General features: G+C 51.1%; 1 protein-coding gene across 12 annotated transcripts in view, besides 8 other annotated features; it reads right to left on the reverse strand.

The window, feature by feature from the left end:
* Nucleotides 1–10,544, reverse strand: part of EPS15L1 (epidermal growth factor receptor pathway substrate 15 like 1) — a 116,766-nt gene extending 106,222 nt beyond the window's left edge. For 10 of the 12 annotated variants that reach the window (NR_047665.2, NM_001438225.1, NM_001438226.1 and 7 more), the window contains exon 1: nt 10,445–10,502. Coding sequence is in view for 10 of the 12 variants with exons in the window: in NM_001438225.1 (NP_001425154.1) it covers nt 10,445–10,477 (33 nt within the window). In the remaining 2 variants the exon portion in view is untranslated. Of the gene's footprint in view, nt 1–10,444 lie in introns of all 12 variants that reach the window. The other 2 variants (NR_047666.1, XM_017027089.3) reach the window with 1 other exon arrangement.
* Nucleotides 162–829: an enhancer, noted in NCBI's record as "H3K27ac-H3K4me1 hESC enhancer chr19:16572441-16573108 (GRCh37/hg19 assembly coordinates)". NCBI's record gives its function as "activates a minimal SCP1, AML or CMV promoter by ChIP-STARR-seq in primed H9 embryonic stem cells {active_cell/tissue: H9 hESC(primed)}" and the evidence as "EXISTENCE:reporter gene assay evidence [ECO:0000049][PMID:30033119]".
* Nucleotides 830–1,497: an enhancer, noted in NCBI's record as "H3K27ac-H3K4me1 hESC enhancer chr19:16573109-16573776 (GRCh37/hg19 assembly coordinates)". NCBI's record gives its function as "activates a minimal SCP1, AML or CMV promoter by ChIP-STARR-seq in primed H9 embryonic stem cells {active_cell/tissue: H9 hESC(primed)}" and the evidence as "EXISTENCE:reporter gene assay evidence [ECO:0000049][PMID:30033119]".
* Nucleotides 3,208–4,132: an enhancer, noted in NCBI's record as "H3K27ac-H3K4me1 hESC enhancer chr19:16575487-16576411 (GRCh37/hg19 assembly coordinates)". NCBI's record gives its function as "activates a minimal SCP1, AML or CMV promoter by ChIP-STARR-seq in naive H9 embryonic stem cells {active_cell/tissue: H9 hESC(naive)}" and the evidence as "EXISTENCE:reporter gene assay evidence [ECO:0000049][PMID:30033119]".
* Nucleotides 9,680–10,591: an enhancer, noted in NCBI's record as "H3K27ac-H3K4me1 hESC enhancer chr19:16581959-16582870 (GRCh37/hg19 assembly coordinates)". NCBI's record gives its function as "activates a minimal SCP1, AML or CMV promoter by ChIP-STARR-seq in primed H9 embryonic stem cells {active_cell/tissue: H9 hESC(primed)}" and the evidence as "EXISTENCE:reporter gene assay evidence [ECO:0000049][PMID:30033119]".
* Nucleotides 9,680–10,733: a biological region, named in NCBI's record as "H3K27ac-H3K4me1 hESC enhancer GRCh37_chr19:16581959-16582870".
* Nucleotides 9,824–9,973: an enhancer, noted in NCBI's record as "active region_14235". NCBI's record gives its function as "activates an Ori minimal core promoter by ATAC-STARR-seq in GM12878 lymphoblastoid cells {active_cell/tissue: GM12878}" and the evidence as "EXISTENCE:reporter gene assay evidence [ECO:0000049][PMID:35858748]".
* Nucleotides 10,054–10,273: a silencer, noted in NCBI's record as "silent region_10300". NCBI's record gives its function as "represses an Ori minimal core promoter by ATAC-STARR-seq in GM12878 lymphoblastoid cells {active_cell/tissue: GM12878}" and the evidence as "EXISTENCE:reporter gene assay evidence [ECO:0000049][PMID:35858748]".
* Nucleotides 10,334–10,733: a silencer, noted in NCBI's record as "silent region_10301". NCBI's record gives its function as "represses an Ori minimal core promoter by ATAC-STARR-seq in GM12878 lymphoblastoid cells {active_cell/tissue: GM12878}" and the evidence as "EXISTENCE:reporter gene assay evidence [ECO:0000049][PMID:35858748]".

The following is a 17,592-nucleotide window of genomic DNA, read 5'->3' on the forward strand; positions in this document are numbered from 1 at the left end:
AAAATTGGCAGGGTGTGGTGGCATACACGTGTGGTCCCAGCTACTCGGAGGGCTGAGGCTGGAAAATCACTTGAACCCAAGAGGCAAAGGTTGCGGTGAGCTGAGATCGCGCCACTGCACTCCAGCCTGGGTCACAGAGTGAGACTCTGTCTCAAAAAAAAGAAAGAAAGAAAGAAAGAAAAGCCAGTTTTCTACAGATTGGCGTAATGACAGAGGCACACTTGTTGATGTCACTTACACAAGAGGAAAGCCCTTTCCTCACCCTCTGATGAGCGGAGGTGAGGAGGTAGCAGGGCCCCAGCCCTGGTGGTGCCCTGACTGCTGTCACCGGCCAGTGGGCTCGAGCAGGCGGCTCTGGGCCCTGTGCCTGTTTCTTCACCCAAGAGACAAAACGTTCCCTTCTGTCAACTACCCTCAAAGACAGCTGGAGAGACAGACTGCGCTCCTGGCTGCTGTTCCAAGTACCCAGCCTCCAATCAACAGATATCACCAGCCTACTATGTGCCAGGAGCCCAGATTTCAGGGGCTGGGAACCCAGCAGGGAGCAGGAAAGACAGAGCTCCTCGACCCTCCCGGAGCCCATGGTGTGGCAATCATAGGACAAAATGGTGGCTTTGGAGCCCATGGTCTGATTCAGACGCCTGTTCTCCATGGGGGTCTGACCAGTTGTTTTACCTCTCTCCCTCTCAGTTTCCTCATCTAGAAACAAGCACAGGGACAATGGCACCATTGTTGGTCCCACAACATTCCCTCACTCCTGCATCAGACCTGTGCCCCAAATCTCTCCCCAGGGCCCAGAGCTGCCTGCCTGGGCCCACTCACTGGTGAGGGCAGTCAGGGTACCACCAGGGCTGGGGTCCCGTTGCCACCTGTTCTGGGAGACCAGGTTACCAGAATCAGGGAAGTGGGGGGGAGGGCATGGTGGCTCACACCTGTAATCCCAGCACTTTGGGGGGCCAAGGTGGGTGGATCACTAGAGGCCAGGAGTTCGAGACCAGCCTGGCCAACATGGTGAAACCCTGTCTCTACTAAAAATACAAAAATACAAAAAAATTAGCCAGGCTTGGTGGTGTGCACCTGTAATCCCAGCTACTTGGGAGGCTGAGGCAGAATTGCTTGAGCCCAGATGGCGGAAGCTGCAGTGAGCCAAGATCATGCCATTACACTCCAGCCTGGGTGACAAAGCGGGACTCCACCTCAAGAAAAAATAAAGTAAAACAAAGAATCAGGGAAGTGGGACTCTGAGAAGGCAGAGAGGGGGCCAGGAAGCTGTGAAGATGGTGGTGGGAGACAGGGCCTGTGCAAAGGGTGGGGGCAGGACACTGGTCCACGCAGTGTACAGCCAGTCAGAGAGGCTGCACCCAGCTGCTTCCTCCAGGCCTGTTGGAACAGAGGAGGGAAAAGACAAAAGGAGGCACAGGCGCCCTCTTCCTCCTGTCCTTTATTCCCAGCCCAGTGGAGGTGATTCATCCCACCGCTGTGGGTGCCACCTGACTTCCACGAGTGTGTCACACTATGTCCTAATTTTCTGTGTGCCTGGGTGCCCAGCTGCAGTTGAGCTGACCTGGAGGGTGGGGCTCGGTTTTATTTATCTTGGTCCCAAGACAGCACACAGTAGCTCAGCAGACAGAATCTCATGGTGCCCCAGCCCCAGAGCTGGTCTTCTTTTTGACTGTACCTAAATGTGGGGTCTCACGTGGCTTGGAGGGTTTCCTGCAAAGTGATGGGTTTTGACTCAACTGACACAGCCACAGCCCACCAGGCTCTGCCCACCAGGCACTCCCACTGCTGCTGTCCTGGCTCCCTGAAGGTGGCCTCAACCTGACGGTTGCAGACACTATGCCTGCTTCTTCCCCCTGCTTCCTCTCCCACCTAGACCCTCACCTGTCCAAACAGCTACCCCACATATTCCTTTCACCCCCAGCCCTTTCTACTCTTCCTGAAACAACCTCAGGCCAGGTTCCTCTTGATCACTTCATGCCCATATCACAGAGACTGTCTCGGAGCTAGAACCCAGCTCCAAGCACTCCCTGTGTAAGCAGCCAGATCATCTAAAGGTGTCACTCCTCAAGAACCTGCCATAGCTCCCTACTGCCTCTCATAATGTGGCCCATGCTACTCTTCCCTCAACAGATGATTGTTGAGCACCTGAGTGCCAGCTGCAGCCTGGCAAACAAGGATGAATAAAACAGGCACAGTCTCTGCCCTTGTGGACCTAGTCTAGGTGGTTGGGGAAGACAGACCATCAATCAACCCCGCAAAGAGAAAATTATAAACGGCTAAATGGAAAAGGTGTCCATCTCCACCAGTGGTAACAGAGATGCTGGGCCAGTTTGTCAGGAAAGGCTTCCCTGAGGAAGTGATGCCCCAGCTGATATGAAAAGGTGTAGGGATTCACCAGAGGATGAAGGGTTTGGAAAGAGCATTCCAGAGAGAGGGAATAGCAGATGCAAACGCCTTGAGGCAAGATGAAGGATCGCCTGCGCAGATGACAGAAAGAGGGGCCAGGGGGCCACAGAGCAGAGGGAATGAGGACTGCAGGCCTGGGAAACACGGGGAGCAGGTGTGCTGTCAGCTGCCGGTAGCAGCGCCTGATCCAGCCTGGCTGGTGTGCCCAAGAGGAGGAGAAGTGACTTTATGTCAGCCTGACCTGCAGGCAGTCAGTAAACAGATTCTGTTATCAGGTCTACATTCCACACCACAGGCAGTGCAGATGGAAATCCGAGACAAATGTCTGTGGTCATCTGTGACCTTTACTTTCACCCCAAAGCTTGTAGTATCAAGAGCTGGGACTCCTATGAAGGGAAAAGCCCAAAGAAGCTTTAAGAGCTAATGGTCTGCACTCCATGCAGGAGCAAACTTCAGGGCCACCACTCTGACCAGCGGTAAAACCCAGTCCAGCGCGAAGGACAGTGGGCAGGTCTCAGCTCCTCAGCCCCCACCAGCCACTGGCCACTCTCTCGGCAAGCAGACATCCTGTCAGTTCGGCCGATTTGTAGCCCAGACACAAACTCTCACGTCTTATTTACCAAAAGACCTTCCTCCTCTCATCCCTGAGCTGCCTAAATTAAAGGAAGGACATGAACCCCAAAGTCCCAGCCGCATGTTTTGGCCCTTTGACCTAGACCTGCAGCCTCTCAGCTCTGGCTCAGTCCTCTTTGCCTCCGTGTGAAAGGCTATTCCCCATGGCCTAGACCAGGGGTGTCCAATCTTTTGGCTTCCCTGGGCCACACTAGAATTGTCTTGGGCCACACATAAAATACACTAACACTAACACTAACACTAACACTAACACTAACACTAATGATAGCTGATGAGCTTTAAAAAATTCACGGGTGGGCATGGTGGCTCACGCCTGTAATCCCAGCACTTTGGGAGGCCAAGGCGGGCAGATCACAAGGTCAGATCGAGACCATCCTGCCTAACCAGTGAAACCCCGTCTCTACTAAAAATACAAAAAATTAGCCAGGTGTGGTGGCGGGTGCCTGTAGTCCCAGCTACGCAGGAGGCTGAGGCAGTAGAATGGCATGAACCCAGGAGGCGGAGCTTGCAGTGAGCCGAAATTGCACCACTGCACTCCAGCCTGGGCAACAGAGCGAGACTTAGTCTCAAAAAAAAAAAAAAAATTCACAAGAAAACCTCATAATGTTTTAGGAAAGTTTACAAATTTGTGTTGGGCTGCATTCAAAGCCATCCTGGGCCACATGCAGCCATGGGTTGGACAAGCTTGGCCTACACCAAACACGCCCTCTCCTCCATACAACCATGTCCAACACCCAAATGGAAGCCAGTCATCTGCCCCTCCTGCAGCTTGGACCACCCGTGACCTGAGCCTCTGCTGTGGGCCGGGCCTGGACAACTCAATTCTGCATGGGCCAGGAGCACTGATTACCACTCTGGCAGGGAAACCTTTGGATTCTCCTAAAGACAACTGGCTGGGAGTGGTGGCTCACACCTGTAATCTCAGCGCTTTGGAGGCAGAGGCAGGAGGATCACTTGAGGTCAGGAGTTCGAAACCAGCCTGGGCAACATAGCAAGATCCTGTCTCTACAAAAAAATTAAAAATTAGCCAGGTGTGGTGTTGCATGCCTGTAGTCTCAGTTCCTTGAGAGGCTGAGGTGGGAGGCTCACTTGAGGCCAAGAGTCGAGGCTGCAATGAGCTTTGATTGCACCACTGTACTCCAGCGTAGGCAATAGAGCAAGAGCCTGTCTCTAAAGGAAAAAGGAAGACAATAAGCAGGCCTTTCCATGTCCCTCTCTACCTTTTAATGAGATGAGATTAAAGTAATAAAATAAAAACTCAGACTACATGATATCTAATAACTAGGTATAAAAACAAATGAGGTTAGGAGATGTCATAAACTTAAAAACAAACAAACAAAAAAATAACTTTCCAAGACAAGAAACTATGGTGCAATGAAGAGGCCTGAACCTGTGTCAGAAAAGCCATGTCTGCCTGAGCTCACTGGGTACAAACTTGGGCAAGGGACGTAACAATCTCTGGCCTCACTTTATCTATTTTTTTTTTTTTTTTTTTTGAGACAGAGTCTTGCTCTGTCACCCAGGCTGGAGTACAGTGGTGCAATCTCGGCTCACTGCAACCTCCACCTCTCAGGTCCAAGCAATTCTCCTGCCTCAGCCTCCTGAGGAGCTGGGACTACAGGCATGTGCCACCACGCCTGGCTAATTTTTGTATTTTAGTAGAGACAGGGTTTCAGCATGTTGGCCAGGCTGGTCTTGAACTCTCGACCTCCAGTGATCTGCCCTTCCTGGCCTCCAGTGATCTGCCCCTCTTGCCCCTATACACTGAAGATAATACTGGCCAGAGTGACCGGGAGGATGAACCAGGCAATCTATGATGTTTTCTTTACTCAGTCCTTCCAGCCTGGTGGTGAGACCTTTCCTGACCTCCATCATCAGATCGGAACCTGCCCTGCTCTACTCATCTCACAGCATCAATCCCCACCGAATGCACTACACATTGGGCTCATTTCTTTATATCTGGGCCCCTCCCAACGATGTCAGCCCCGTGAGGCGGCACTGCCTTCAGATTCACTGTTCCATCCACTGCCCAGAAAGTGTCCAGCAAAAAGAAGATGCCAAATAAATACTCACTGAACGAACAGTGTGATCTACAAAAGGCAGGCATGAGGGCCAGGCGCGGTGCCTCCTGCCTGTAATCCCAGCACTTTGGGAGGCTGAGGCAGACAGATCACTTGAGGTCAGGAGTTCGAGACCAGCCTAGGCAACATAGTGAAACTCCATCTCTACTAAAAATACAAAAATTAGCTGGGTGTGGTAGTGGGCGCCTGTAATCCCAGCTACTCAGGAGGCTGAGACAGGAGAATCGCTTGAATCCAGGAGGCAGAGGTTGCAGTGAGCCAAGACAGCGCCATTGCACTCCATCCTGGGTGACAAGAGTGAAACTCTGTCTCAAAAAAAAAAAAAAAAGGAAAGCACTGAGAGCACATGCGTCACACGGCAGGGTCCTGACACTCTACTGTGACAAAGCAGGTCAAGCGAGTCCACAGTACCATTCTGCAGATGAGAAAACTAAGGTACAGAAAGTATTTGCAGGACTGAGGGCAGTGAAGGAATATCTGGGAATCCAAACAAACATCTAAGGACCTAAACATTGAAAAGCAGGCACCACTGCACCTGATGGTGCCTGCTTTTCTTTTCTTTTTTTTTTTTTTGAGACGTAGTGTCACTTTGTTGCCCAGGCTGGAGTGTGCAGTGGAGTGATCTTGGCTCACTGCAACCTCCGCCTCCTGGGTTCAAGTGATTCTCCTGCCTCAGGGTCCCGAGTGGCCGGGATTACAGGCGTCCGCCAGGACGCCAGGCTAATGTTTTGTATTTTTAGTAGAGATGAGGTTTCACCATGTTGGCCAGGCTGGTCTCAAACTCCTGACCTCAGGTGATCCACCTGCCTCAGCCTCCCAAAGTGCTAGGATTACAGGCGTCAGCCACTGCACCCGGCCTGGAAAGTTGTTTTAAAGTTCAGAATGGAGGTGGAGGGGTCTTGCCCAGGGAGAATCTATTTAGTCGAAAAAACAACAACAACAACAAAAACAAAAAAAAAACAGGCCAGTGCAGGTCAATAAGTGACAGTCAGGGAATTCTGGATCTTTCAGGAGTGGATTTTACTCTAAAACTTCGTTCTCATCAATTTAGACTGCATTGCCATTAGCATTCTACTAAGATAGACTAGCACTTATTTCAGAGGAAGAAAAGAAACAAGGGACAAGAGGACAAGTAAGTGTCCGAGCCACTCAGCATTCATTCCAGACACACTGGCCGGGTGCTGCTCTGGGAGAGGTGCCCAGCAGGCCATCTGGAACAGCAGGGCTCTGCGGCAGGAGGACGCAGGTGTGACCTCAGCTCTGCGCCCACCAACTATGAGACTTCAGCAAGTTACTCTATTTCTGTGGGTCTTGGTTTCCTCACTTGTAAAAGGGGAATAAAAGCCTCCTAGAATGGAGGCACCTACTGAAATACAGCAAAAGCTCCTGGATGAAGAACACATAACAAGGGGGAAAGGAGGAAGGTGTAGCTCTTTGGGCCCAGGGCAGTCTCTCCTCATCACTGAGCCCAGTTACCACGCGCTTCCTAGGTACAGCGGTCACAAAAGGGACCCACGGAAGGTACAAGGGAGAGAACTCTCATTCGGGTGGGGCTAAGGGAGGACAACACAGGGGAGGCCTCAAAGACCGTCCTTCAGGGCAGGCAGCATACGGCAGGAGCTCACAGTGATGTTCTAGCAACCGGAGCAACACAGCTAAGGATGCTGAGGCTAGAAAGTGTTGCCAAGAGCCAGAAGTGCAGGAAAGGGACCCAGCAAGGTTAGGTGGAGTCGATTCAGGGCTTACTAAGGTCATCAAAGCTGACTTTTTTTGAGACTGAGTCTCACCCTGTTGCCCAGGCTGGGGTGCAGTGGCGCGATCTCAGCTCACTGCAACCTCCGCCGCCTGGTTTCAAGCGATTCTTGTGCCTCAGCCTCCCAAGTTGCTGGGATTATAGGCGTTTGCCACTATGCCTGGCTAACTTTTGTATTTTTAGTACAGACAGGGTTTTGCTATGTTGGCCAGGCTGGTCTCGAGCTCCTGGCCTCAAGCAATCCATCCACCTCAGCCTCCTAAAGTGCTGGGATTATAGGCATGAGCCACAGCGCCCAGCCATAAACTGAGTTCTTTTGGAGGAAGGGGAATGGGAGCTGTGAAAGGTTTTTGGAACAGGGGAATATGTTTTAGAAGATGAATCCTAGCCAGATGCAGTGGCTGACACCGTAATTCCAATACTTTAGGAGGCTGAGATAGAAGGATTGCTTGAGGCTAGGGGTTTAAGACCTGCCTAGGCAGCATAGCAAGACTTCATCTCTTCAAAAAAAAAATTGTTTAATTAGCTGGGTATGATTGGTGCTGCGCTCCTGTAGTCCCAGCTACTTGAGAGGCCAAGGTGGGAGAATTGCTTGAGCCCAGGAGTTTGAGGTTGCAGTGAGCTATGATCCTACCACTGCACTCCAGCCTGGGGGACAGAGCGAGACCCTGTCTCAAAAATCAAAAAGATGACTTCCACAGTGGCGTGGGATTAAGTGGGAGGGAGTGGGCAAGTAGGAAGTAGAATGGCCCAGACCACTTTGGGGCATGGCAAGGAAATGGCCCATTCCAGAGTCCAGCAGGCTGGCAGAGGTGCAGGAGAGAGACACCTTCTGGACTCTAGAAGGCAGGTTTGAAGTCCTCTGCACAGAAGCTCCAGGGGAGGGAGCGCACAGAGAGATAAGATGCAGGTAGGGAGGCTGAAATTAGGGGACAAGAAGGAGAGACTGAAAGGAGAGAGGATGAAGAGTGAAGACCGACGGGCTCCAGTGTTGCGGAGTTCGAGGAGGATCGGCTGCAGCCACAGGGCACCGGGGTTAAGGACGGAGGGGCCACCGGTAACCTCGGGGAGTACAAGGAGGAAAGAGATCTGGATGCATTTCCACGGAAGGCTTTTTGGAAAGCAGAAGAGAGCTGAGCAGGGGGACAGGGAGACACACAAATCACTGAGATGCTGTTGGGAAAAAAAAATCACTCCTAAAGAGGCAGAGGTGCAGACCTTTCGAATTTACGTTGATATTCAGGGTCAGAAAAGAGTATATAAGGAAGGAGATTCTGAGATGATGTCATGGAGTACAGAACAGACTGAAAAAGATGCTGATGGGAAAAGTGCAGACAGGAGTGGGGGTGGAGAAAACACACCCCTCCTCCCCTAGGCTAGCCCGCTGGGTTATCCACTTTGCTCACCTTCACCTGGCCATCTGCTTGCCAAGTGTGCTCTGTCACCTAAATCCAACCAGATCACAGCCACCTGCTGCAGGGTGCTTCCCTTTTGCCCCCAACCAAAAATTTTGGAATTATACCCTTGGTTCCCCCAGAGTTATCTGTGAACCCAAGTGATCTCCTGAGCTAGACAGTAAGGGCCTGGGAGGGCCATGCCTCACACCTGGGCCAACAGTAACCCATGGTGTAGATTTTCACTCGAGAGCAAGTGTAAAGAAGTGCTGACATTTCCAAACGAAGAAAACCAGGCCACGCCTTCATTCAACAAATGTATAGGGAAAGGAACAGGAAGAGGCTAAGAAGTCAGTGACCTGGCCAGGCGCAGTGGCTAACGCCTGTAATCCCAGCACTTTGGGAGGCCAAGGCGGGTGGATCACTCGAGTTCAGGAGTTTGACACGAGCCTCGCCAAAATGGTGAAACCCCGTCTCCACTAAAAAAAAAATACAAAAATTAGCCGGGTGTGGTAGCACGTGCCTGTAGTCCCAGCTACTCAGGAGGCTGAGGCAGGAGAATCACTTGAACTCGGGAGGCGGAGGTTACAGTGAGCTGAGATCATGCCACTGCACTCCACCCTGGGTGACAGAGCAATACTCCATCTCAAAAAAAAAAAAATTGGACAGGAAGTTTTAGAAAGATCCACGCCTCCCAAACTGGGAGTGCTTAGTGCTTTCTCATGAAATGATCTTAGGTGATTTTCCCCCGACTCCCGCCTTCCCCGCCCCCCACCCCCTGACTACATACTCTAAACTGTAGCACTTAGCTATTAACACCTATTATCGGTAGGACACTTAACAGTTTACAGAGCACTTTCATGTCAGTAACAAGAACTTGCTAATTAATAATCACCGGGTTTTAGCACTGTTAACTTAGTGACAGTGTTGCAAATTGGCTAGCTGTGCACTTCTCTCTCCTTGGATCAGCTAACCAGTCATGCAAGCATGCAACCGGCCTATCAACTCTCTTTGGGTTTGGAATTCTTAATTGCTGCGGTCTCTACTCCCAAACGTCCAAATCTGGCAGAGATTAAATGATGACAGTAATTATAGGATCACTGAGTGCCTCTCATATGCTAGGCACTGTTCTAAGCGCTTTTTCACGTGCTTAATTTTCACATAATCCCAACACATTTTTATATCTCCATTTTCCAAAGGAAGCAACTGATGGGTGGAATGGCTAAGAGCTTCAACCAAAGGCACAGAGAAATCGGGGCTGGAGCCAAGATTTGAACACATGATCTGACCCTGTGTCCTCACTCTTAATCACCATGCTGTGCTAGATCATTCTAGCAAAATGCTTATATGGTGCTTTGCACAACACAGGTATTCAGCAAATAAAGGCAGCTGTGATTAGCATAACACAGGTAGTTTCTAGTTCCCACGAGTGTCACCTCCAGGAAAGCAGCGACCTTGTCTGTCTGGAAGAATGCAGCGCTCCCAGCACCTGACCCAACGCACATTTGAGGGATGGATAGAAAATGAATGAATGAAAGTCTCTCCCAAATAACAGAGCTGCCTACGCATGGCTCTTTTTCGCATGTCTGTGTCGCGCTATCGATACTGCCCCTTCATAAGCGCATCAGGCGAATTTGAGGACACAGAGAGGCGCCCGGAGACGTACGATCTGCGCCCGGTGCAGGGGTGGCGGAAGCAGCTTCCAAGGAGGCAGGGGATCAGTCTGAGATCGCACTGCTGCTGACGGGTCCGGGCTCCGGCGGGACCCTGCCCGCCCGGGCGCCGGGACCGGAGGGAGACAAAGACTCGCTGGGCCGCCGCGCCGACAGAAACGCTCGCACCCCTCGCCCACCCCTCCGGGATGCAGCCCAGCGCCTCCGCGGGTCCCCGGCCTGGGAGCTTCAGCGGCGGCAGGGTCCGGGCCCTGGGCGGAGAGGACACGCGCTGCGCACCTCCTCGCCTCGCCGGTGCCCGCGAGGGTCGCTCGGGCACGGGAGGCCGCGGGTCCCGGCCTGTCACCTTCAGGGCCGCCTGCCCACCCGCCCGCCGCAAGCCCTTCAGCACGCGCCGCCCCCGCCGCCGCCTGGCTGAGTCTCCCAGCGCCTCAGCCTCGCCGCACCGCTCGCCTCGCGCCCCGCACCCCGGCGCCGCCCCCAGGCCCGCCCGGCCCGTACCTGCTGGGAGAGGGGGATGAGCGGCGCCGCCATCTTCCCGCGGACTCGGGCTCCGAGCGCCGGGGGAACGGGGGCGGGGCTGCAGCCACGCGTGCGCACTGGGACGACGGGAGGGCGGTGCGCAGGCCGCCTGTCCCGGGAGAGGGCGGGGCCGTAGACAGGGCCACGCATGTGCAGTCAGGCCGGGAGGGGCGGGGGCAGGGGCGGGGCCGCCCACACGCAGCCTGGAGGGGCTGGGCCTGAGGCATCTGCGTCTTCCGTGCTCTCTTGCCCGTTCCCCTACTCCTCCTTCCAACGTTGTTCGGACTCTCATGCCGCTGGCCGCTGTCCGAGTCGACCATGCTGTGTCATCCCTCCAGCCCATGCCGAGGCCTGGTTCTCTGTTAGGGATGCCGTCCCCCTGCCAGTGCGCCTGGGGAGGCGGTCGCCCACCCCGCGGAGGGTCGGGACCCTCACCCTGCCCCGCAAAGCGCCCTGTTCCTAGGATCGCAGTGTGTGTGTGTGTGTGTGTGTGTGTGTGTGCGCGCTAATTTGGGGGACCCGCACCCTGCCCCCCTCACCCTGCCCCGCAAGGCGTCCTCCTGGCTGTGGTGGCGGGCACCTGAAATCCAAGCTACTCAGGAGACTGAGGCAGGAGAATTGCTTGAGCCCAGGAAGCAGAGGTTTCAGTGAGCCAAGATCACACCATTGCAATCCAGCCTGGGCAACAGAAGCGAAACTCTGTCTCAAAAATAAATAAATAAATAAGACAAGAACCCACTTGTTGCCAGGTACAGTGGCTTACACCTGTAATCCCAGCACTTTGGGAGGCCGAGGTGGGAGGGTCATGAGGTCAGGAGTTGGAGACCAGCCTGGCCAGTATGGTGAAACATCAATATGGTGAAACCCCATCTCTACTAAAAAAAATACAAAAATTAGCAGGTGTGGTGGTGCATGCCTGTAGTCCCAGCTACTCAGGAGGCTGAGGCCAGAGAATCACTTGAACCCGGGAGGTGGAGGTTGCGGTGAGCCAAGATTGCACCACTGCACTCCAGCCTGGGTGACAGAGTGAGACTCTGTCTCAAAACAAAGTCAAAAACAAAAAGAACCCACTTGTAACTGTTGCTAATCAAAGCATACATTCAGGGCAACTTGAATCTGTGTCTCCTGGACTGCGGTCCTCAACCTTGGCCCAAACTCTCTACTTATATTAACTTTGCCTCAGCTTCTTTTGTTACATCAATAGAGTAATGAAGGTTTTTAACAGTCTTGAGTGCTTTATCAGTACGTATTCCATAAGGAAAAGAGAAGTCCTTCTAGGTACTTCAAACAGAGGATATTGAATACAGGGGATTGAGCCAGGCTCTGTGGCTCACACTTGTAATCCCAGCAATCCAGTTGAGACAGGTAGATTGATACCAGCCTGGCCAACATGGAGAAACCCCATCTTTACTAAAAATACAAAAATTAACCCAGTGCAGTGGCAGGTGCCTGTAATCCCAGCTACTCAGGAGGCTGAGGCAGGAGAATTGCTTGAACCTGGGAGGGGAAGGTTGCAATAAGCTGAGAACTCACCATTGCACTCCAACCTAGGTGACAGAGCGAGACTCTGTCTAAAAAATAAATAAATAAAAATAAATGAATACATAAACGACTACAGGGGACTGAGTATAAAAGTGTTGGAAGTACTGGAAGAACAAAAGAGGAAGGTAAGTTTACCTAAAGATTCATAACTATATGAGGCTGCTAGCCTCTCTAGAGCTGAAAGATTAAAGCAGGGGAGGTGGCTGGGCATAGTGGCTCACGCCTGTAATCCCAGCACTTTGGGAGGCCGAGGTGGATGGATCACCTGAGGTCAGAAGTTTGAGACCAGCCTGGCCAACATGATGAAATCCCGTGTCTACTAAAAATACAAAAATTAGCCGGTTGTGGTGGTGGGCACCTGTAATCCCAGCTACTCGGGAGGCTGAGGCAGGAGAATCACTTGAACCTGGGAGGCGGAGGTTGCAGTGAGCTGAGATCACGCCACTGCACTCCAGTTTGGGCAACAAGAGCGAAACTCCGTCTCAAAATAAATAAATAAATAAAGCACAGGAGGACCCATAACCCACAATCACTGTGCCTACAGAAGGATCCCAGATGTGTTCACCCTTGCTAGCCACAGTTGCCTCCACCATGATTGCGAAAGTCACAGTTGTTGTTGTCACCACCACCTAAGCCACTGGCAGAAGTCTGAAAAAATGGTTTCTCCCCTCTTTCTGCCTCCCAACTTTGTTCTAATAAAGCATGACAGGAACGTTGCCAATTGGCAACGGCGTCCAGGAAATGTAGCATGCAGGCTTTAAGTGCCAGTATCAGAGTCTAGAATGGTGGTGGCCATAGAAACTCTCCAGCATCATCTTGTAAAAATAATCCAAACTTGGCTGGGCGCGGTGGCCCACACCTGTAATTCCAGCCCTTTGGAGGGCCGAGGCAGGCAGTTCACGAGGTCAGGAATTCGAGACCAGCCTGGCCAACACAGTGAAACCCCATCTCTACTAAAAATACAAGAATTAGCCAGGCGTGGTGGCGGGTGCCTGTAATCCCAGCTACTCGGGAGGCTGAGGCAGGAGAATTGCTTGAACCTGGGATGGGGAGGTTGCAGTGAGCCAAGATCGCACCATTGCACTCCAGCCTGGGCAACAAGAGCAAAACTCCGTCTCAGAAGAAAAAAAAGAAAAAAAAAAAGGCCGGGCATGGTGGCTCACGCCTGAAATCCCAACACTTTGGAAGGCCGAGGCAGGCAGATCATGAGGTCAGGAGATCGAGACCATCCTGGCCAACATGGTGAAACCCCATCTCTACTAAAAATACGAAAATTTAGCCGGGCATGGTGGGGGGTGCCTGTAGTCCCAGCTACTTGTGAGGCTGAGGCAGGAGAATGGCATGAACTCAGGAGGCGGGTCTTGCAGTGAGCCGAGATCGCGCCACTGCACTCCAGCCTGGGCAACACAGAAACTTCGTCTCAAAAAAAAAAAAAAAAATCCAAACTTAATCATACACTTTTGAACCCTAAGAATTATGTTGAGCCTTGAAGAAAACGGGACTGTGTGATCTGAGCCAGACAGCATGTAACTACAACTTCTGCTTATAGATTATAGATTAACTCTCCTGTTCTTGCTCTGTAGATTCATTTCAAGACTAAATGGCATCAGCGTTAAGATCGCCCTTCTTCATTGCTGACCTTTCCTCTATTATCTTGCACCTAAATCAGACCAGATAGTGCAAAAGGTCCTGTGACTGTTATGTCCTCTATGTGAATGTTAAATATACCCTTCCCAAAAAGACCACTGCCTTGACTAATCAGATTACTGTTAACTATGTACTTGCCTTGTGTGAAATATGTAGAAACGCTGTCAAGCTTCCCAAACCTTACCTATATAAATGACCCCCAAACTTCCTCAGTTTGGAATGCTGATTTCCATTCTTTGGAATCTGTGTTCCAGGGTGGCCGTCCTCAAACTTTTGTGCTAAACTAAACTCTATATTTAACCATATTTCCTGAATTTATTTATTTAGGGTTGATGTTTTGATGATCCAGATGGGATCTGAAGTGGAGTTCCAGTGATCCCTGCCACTTCTCACAATCAGACCCTTTGTACTGTTACCGCAAAGGGGTCTTGATCCAGACCCCGAGAGGGTTCTTGGATCTCACCCAAGAAAGAATTAGTGCGAGTCCATACAGTAAAGTGAAAGCAAGTTTATTAGGAAAGTAAAGGAATAAAGGAATGGCTACTTCATAGAGCAGCCCCAAGGGCTGCTGGTTGCTTTTTTTTTTTGGGAGAAGTTTCACTGTTGTTGCCAGGGCTGGAGTGCAATGACGGGATCTCAGCTCACCACAACCTCCACCTCCTGGGTTCAAGTGGTTCTCCTGCCTCAGCCTCCTGAATAGCTGGGATTAGAGACATGCACCACCACGCCCAGCTAATTTTGTATTTTTAGTAGATGTGGGGTTTCTCCATGTTGGTTAGGCTGGTCTTGAACTCCCAACCTCAAGTGATCCGCCTGCCTCGGCCTCTCAAAGTGCTGGAATTACAGGCTTGAGCCACTGTGCCTGGCCAGGTTGCTCATTTTTATGGTTATTTCTTGATGATATGCTAGACAAGGGGTGGATTATTCATGCCTTCCCTTTTTACTTATTTATGTATTTATTTATTTATTTTTTGAGACGGAGTCTCGCTCTGTCACCCAGGCTGGAGTGCAGTGGCGCGATCTCGGCTCACTGCAAGCTCCGCCTCCCGGGTTCACGCCATTCTCCTGCCTCAGCCTCCCGAGTAGTTGAGACTACAGGCACCCACCACCACGCCCGGCTAATTTTTTTGTATTTTTAGTAGAGACAGGGTTTCACTGTGTTAGCCAGGATGGTCTCGATCTCCTGACCTCGTGATCCACCCATCTCAGCCTTCCAAAGTGCTGGGATTACAGGCGTGAGCCACCGCGCCCGGCCCCCTTTTCAGGCTGCCATATACAGTAACTTCCTGATGTTGCCATGACCTTTGTAAACTGCCATGGCGCTGGTGGGAGTGTAGCAGTGAGGACCACCAGAGGTCACTCCCATCACTATCTTGGTTTTGGTGGGTTTTAGCCGGCTTCTTTACTGCAACCTGTTTTATCAGCAAGGTCTTTAGTGCTGACCTCCTATCTCATCATGTGGCTAAGAATGCCTTAACCGCCTGGGAATGCAGCCCAGTAGGTCTCAGCCTTATTTTACTAAGCCCCTATTCAAGATGGAGTTGCTCTGGCAGCTACCTGATTTATGAATTGTTCTTTGCTCAGTTACACTCCATGAAATTTAATATGTCCAGAGTTTTTCCTCTAACAAAGTTTAAAGTGAAGTTAACTAGAATGAAATAAGATTAAAAAGTCATTTCTTGGTCCCACTAGCCACATTTCAAGAGCTCAATAGCAACACGTGACCCGGCATGGTAGCTCACGCCTGTGATCCCAGCACTTTGGGAGGCTGAGGCACGCAGATCACTTGAGGTCAGGAGTTCCAGACCAGCCTGGCCAACATGGCGAAACCCCATCTCTACTAAAAATACAAAATTCAGATGGGCATGGCGCATGCCTGTAATCCCAGCTACTTGGGAGGCTAAGGCATGAGAATCGCTTGAACCCAGGAGGCAGAGGTTGCAGTGAGCCATACTTGCGCCACTGAACTCCAGCCTGGGCAACAGAGCAAGATTCTGTCTCAAAAACAAACAAACAAAAAAAGCAACATGTGACAAATTCTCTCGGACAACGCTGCTCCCAACGAATCTTCAGAGCCTGAGCCAGTCTCACTCACCGTTTTTTGTCTTGTTAGCTCCACTTTATTTTATTTTTAGAGAGGGGGTCTCGCTCTGTCACTCAGGCTGGAGTGCAGTGGCACGATCATAGCCCACTGCAGCCTTGACCTCTTGGACTCAAGCGATCCTCCCATCTCAGCCTCCCAAGTAGCTGGGACCACAGTCATGTACCTCCATGCCCAGCTAATTACAAAAAAAATTTTTTTTAGAGACAAGGTCTCTATGTTGCCCAAGCTGGTCTCAAACTCCTGGTCTTAAGTGACCCTCCCTCCTTGACCCCCCAGATAGCTGGGATTACAGGCACAAGCCACTACACCTGGCCTGACTCACCTTTGTACACTAATTGGTACCAGCACTTTCTCTCCAGGTCTGCCTCTGATTCTTTTCACACTACTCACCCTGTTCAGAGGTGAAAGAGGTAGGCAATGTTTGCCACCCTTGCATTAGGAGGAAGGGAGTCTTTAGTTTCTCAGAGTAATAATCAATCCCTAATAATTGGTGAAGGTTGATGTAGCCACCATCAGAAAAAATCCAGGTGCAAAGGTCTGCCAACATTGACCAGAGTGAGAGCAAAATTCTGCAGAACTTCACTTCCCAGCCAGGCTTTTGAAACTGATCAACTTTCTTTTTTTTCTTTTCTTCTTTCTTTCTCTTTTTTTTTTTTTTTTTTCTGAGGTAGGGTCTCATTCTGTCACACAGGCTGGAGTGCAGTGGCACAATCTCAGCTCACTGCAATCTCCACCTCCCAAGCTCAGGTGATCCTCCCATCTCAGCCTCCCGAATAGCTGGGACCACGGGTGTGCACCGCCAAACCCAGCTAATTTTTAGTATTTTTTGTAGAGGCAGAGTTTCGCCACATTGCCCAGGCTGGTCTTGAACTCCTGGACTCAAGCAATTTACACACCTCAGTCTCCCAAAGTGCTGGGATTACAGGTGTGAGCTACTGCACCCGGCCCACACTGGTCAACTCTCAATATTCTGTATATAAATTCCAATTTATTTGGCTTATTCATAACATCACTAGATTCCAAATTTCTGGTGTCACAAATTTGATTATTTTCATCATGAGTTTCAGTATGATTATGGGCCTCTTCCAGAAGAAGACTGGGCCAGGAGCAGTGGCTCACACCTGTAAGCCCAGAGCTTTGAGAGGCCAAGGTGGGAGGATGGCTTGAGTCCAGGAGTTCAGGACCAGCCTGGGCAACATGTGAGACTCCCATCCCTATAAAAATTAAATTAAAAAACAAAAAATATGGCTGGCTGCAGTGGTTCATGCCTATAATCCCAGCACTTTGGGAGACCAAGGCAGGCGGATCACGAGGTCAAGAGATCAAGACCATCCTGGCTAACACAGTGAAACCCCATCTCTACTTAAAATACAAAAAGTTAACCGGGTGTGGTGGCGGGCGCCTGTAGTCCCAGCTACTCAGGAGGTTGAGGCTGCCTCCAGCCTCAGCCTGAAGTACCTGGGACTACAGGTGCGCACCACCACATCCAGCTCCTTTTTGTATTTTTAGTAGAGACGGGTTTTCACTGTGTTGGCCAGGCTGGTCTTGAACTCTGGGCTCAAGTGATCCGCCCACCTCAGCCTCCCAAAGTGATGGGATTATAGGCGTGAGGCACACTGCCTGGTCAACTTTTATTTTATAAAAAGACTTTTGGGAGTTAAGAAAAGGGGATCATGGTTTTGGCCAGACCCTTGCTGGCCTCTGGCTTCCAGTGTGTAAAATTGTCAAGAGGGAACTTCTCAGTGCAAGGGGGTCACCAGGGGAGATACAACCTACCCCACCCAGAAGCATGAAACACTGTTCAAAGAAAATTGGACAAAGTGCCATGTAGACA

The sequence above is a fragment of the Homo sapiens genome, chromosome 19, assembly GCF_000001405.40.
Source record: "Homo sapiens chromosome 19, GRCh38.p14 Primary Assembly".
Taxonomy (NCBI): Eukaryota; Metazoa; Chordata; class Mammalia; order Primates; family Hominidae; genus Homo; species Homo sapiens.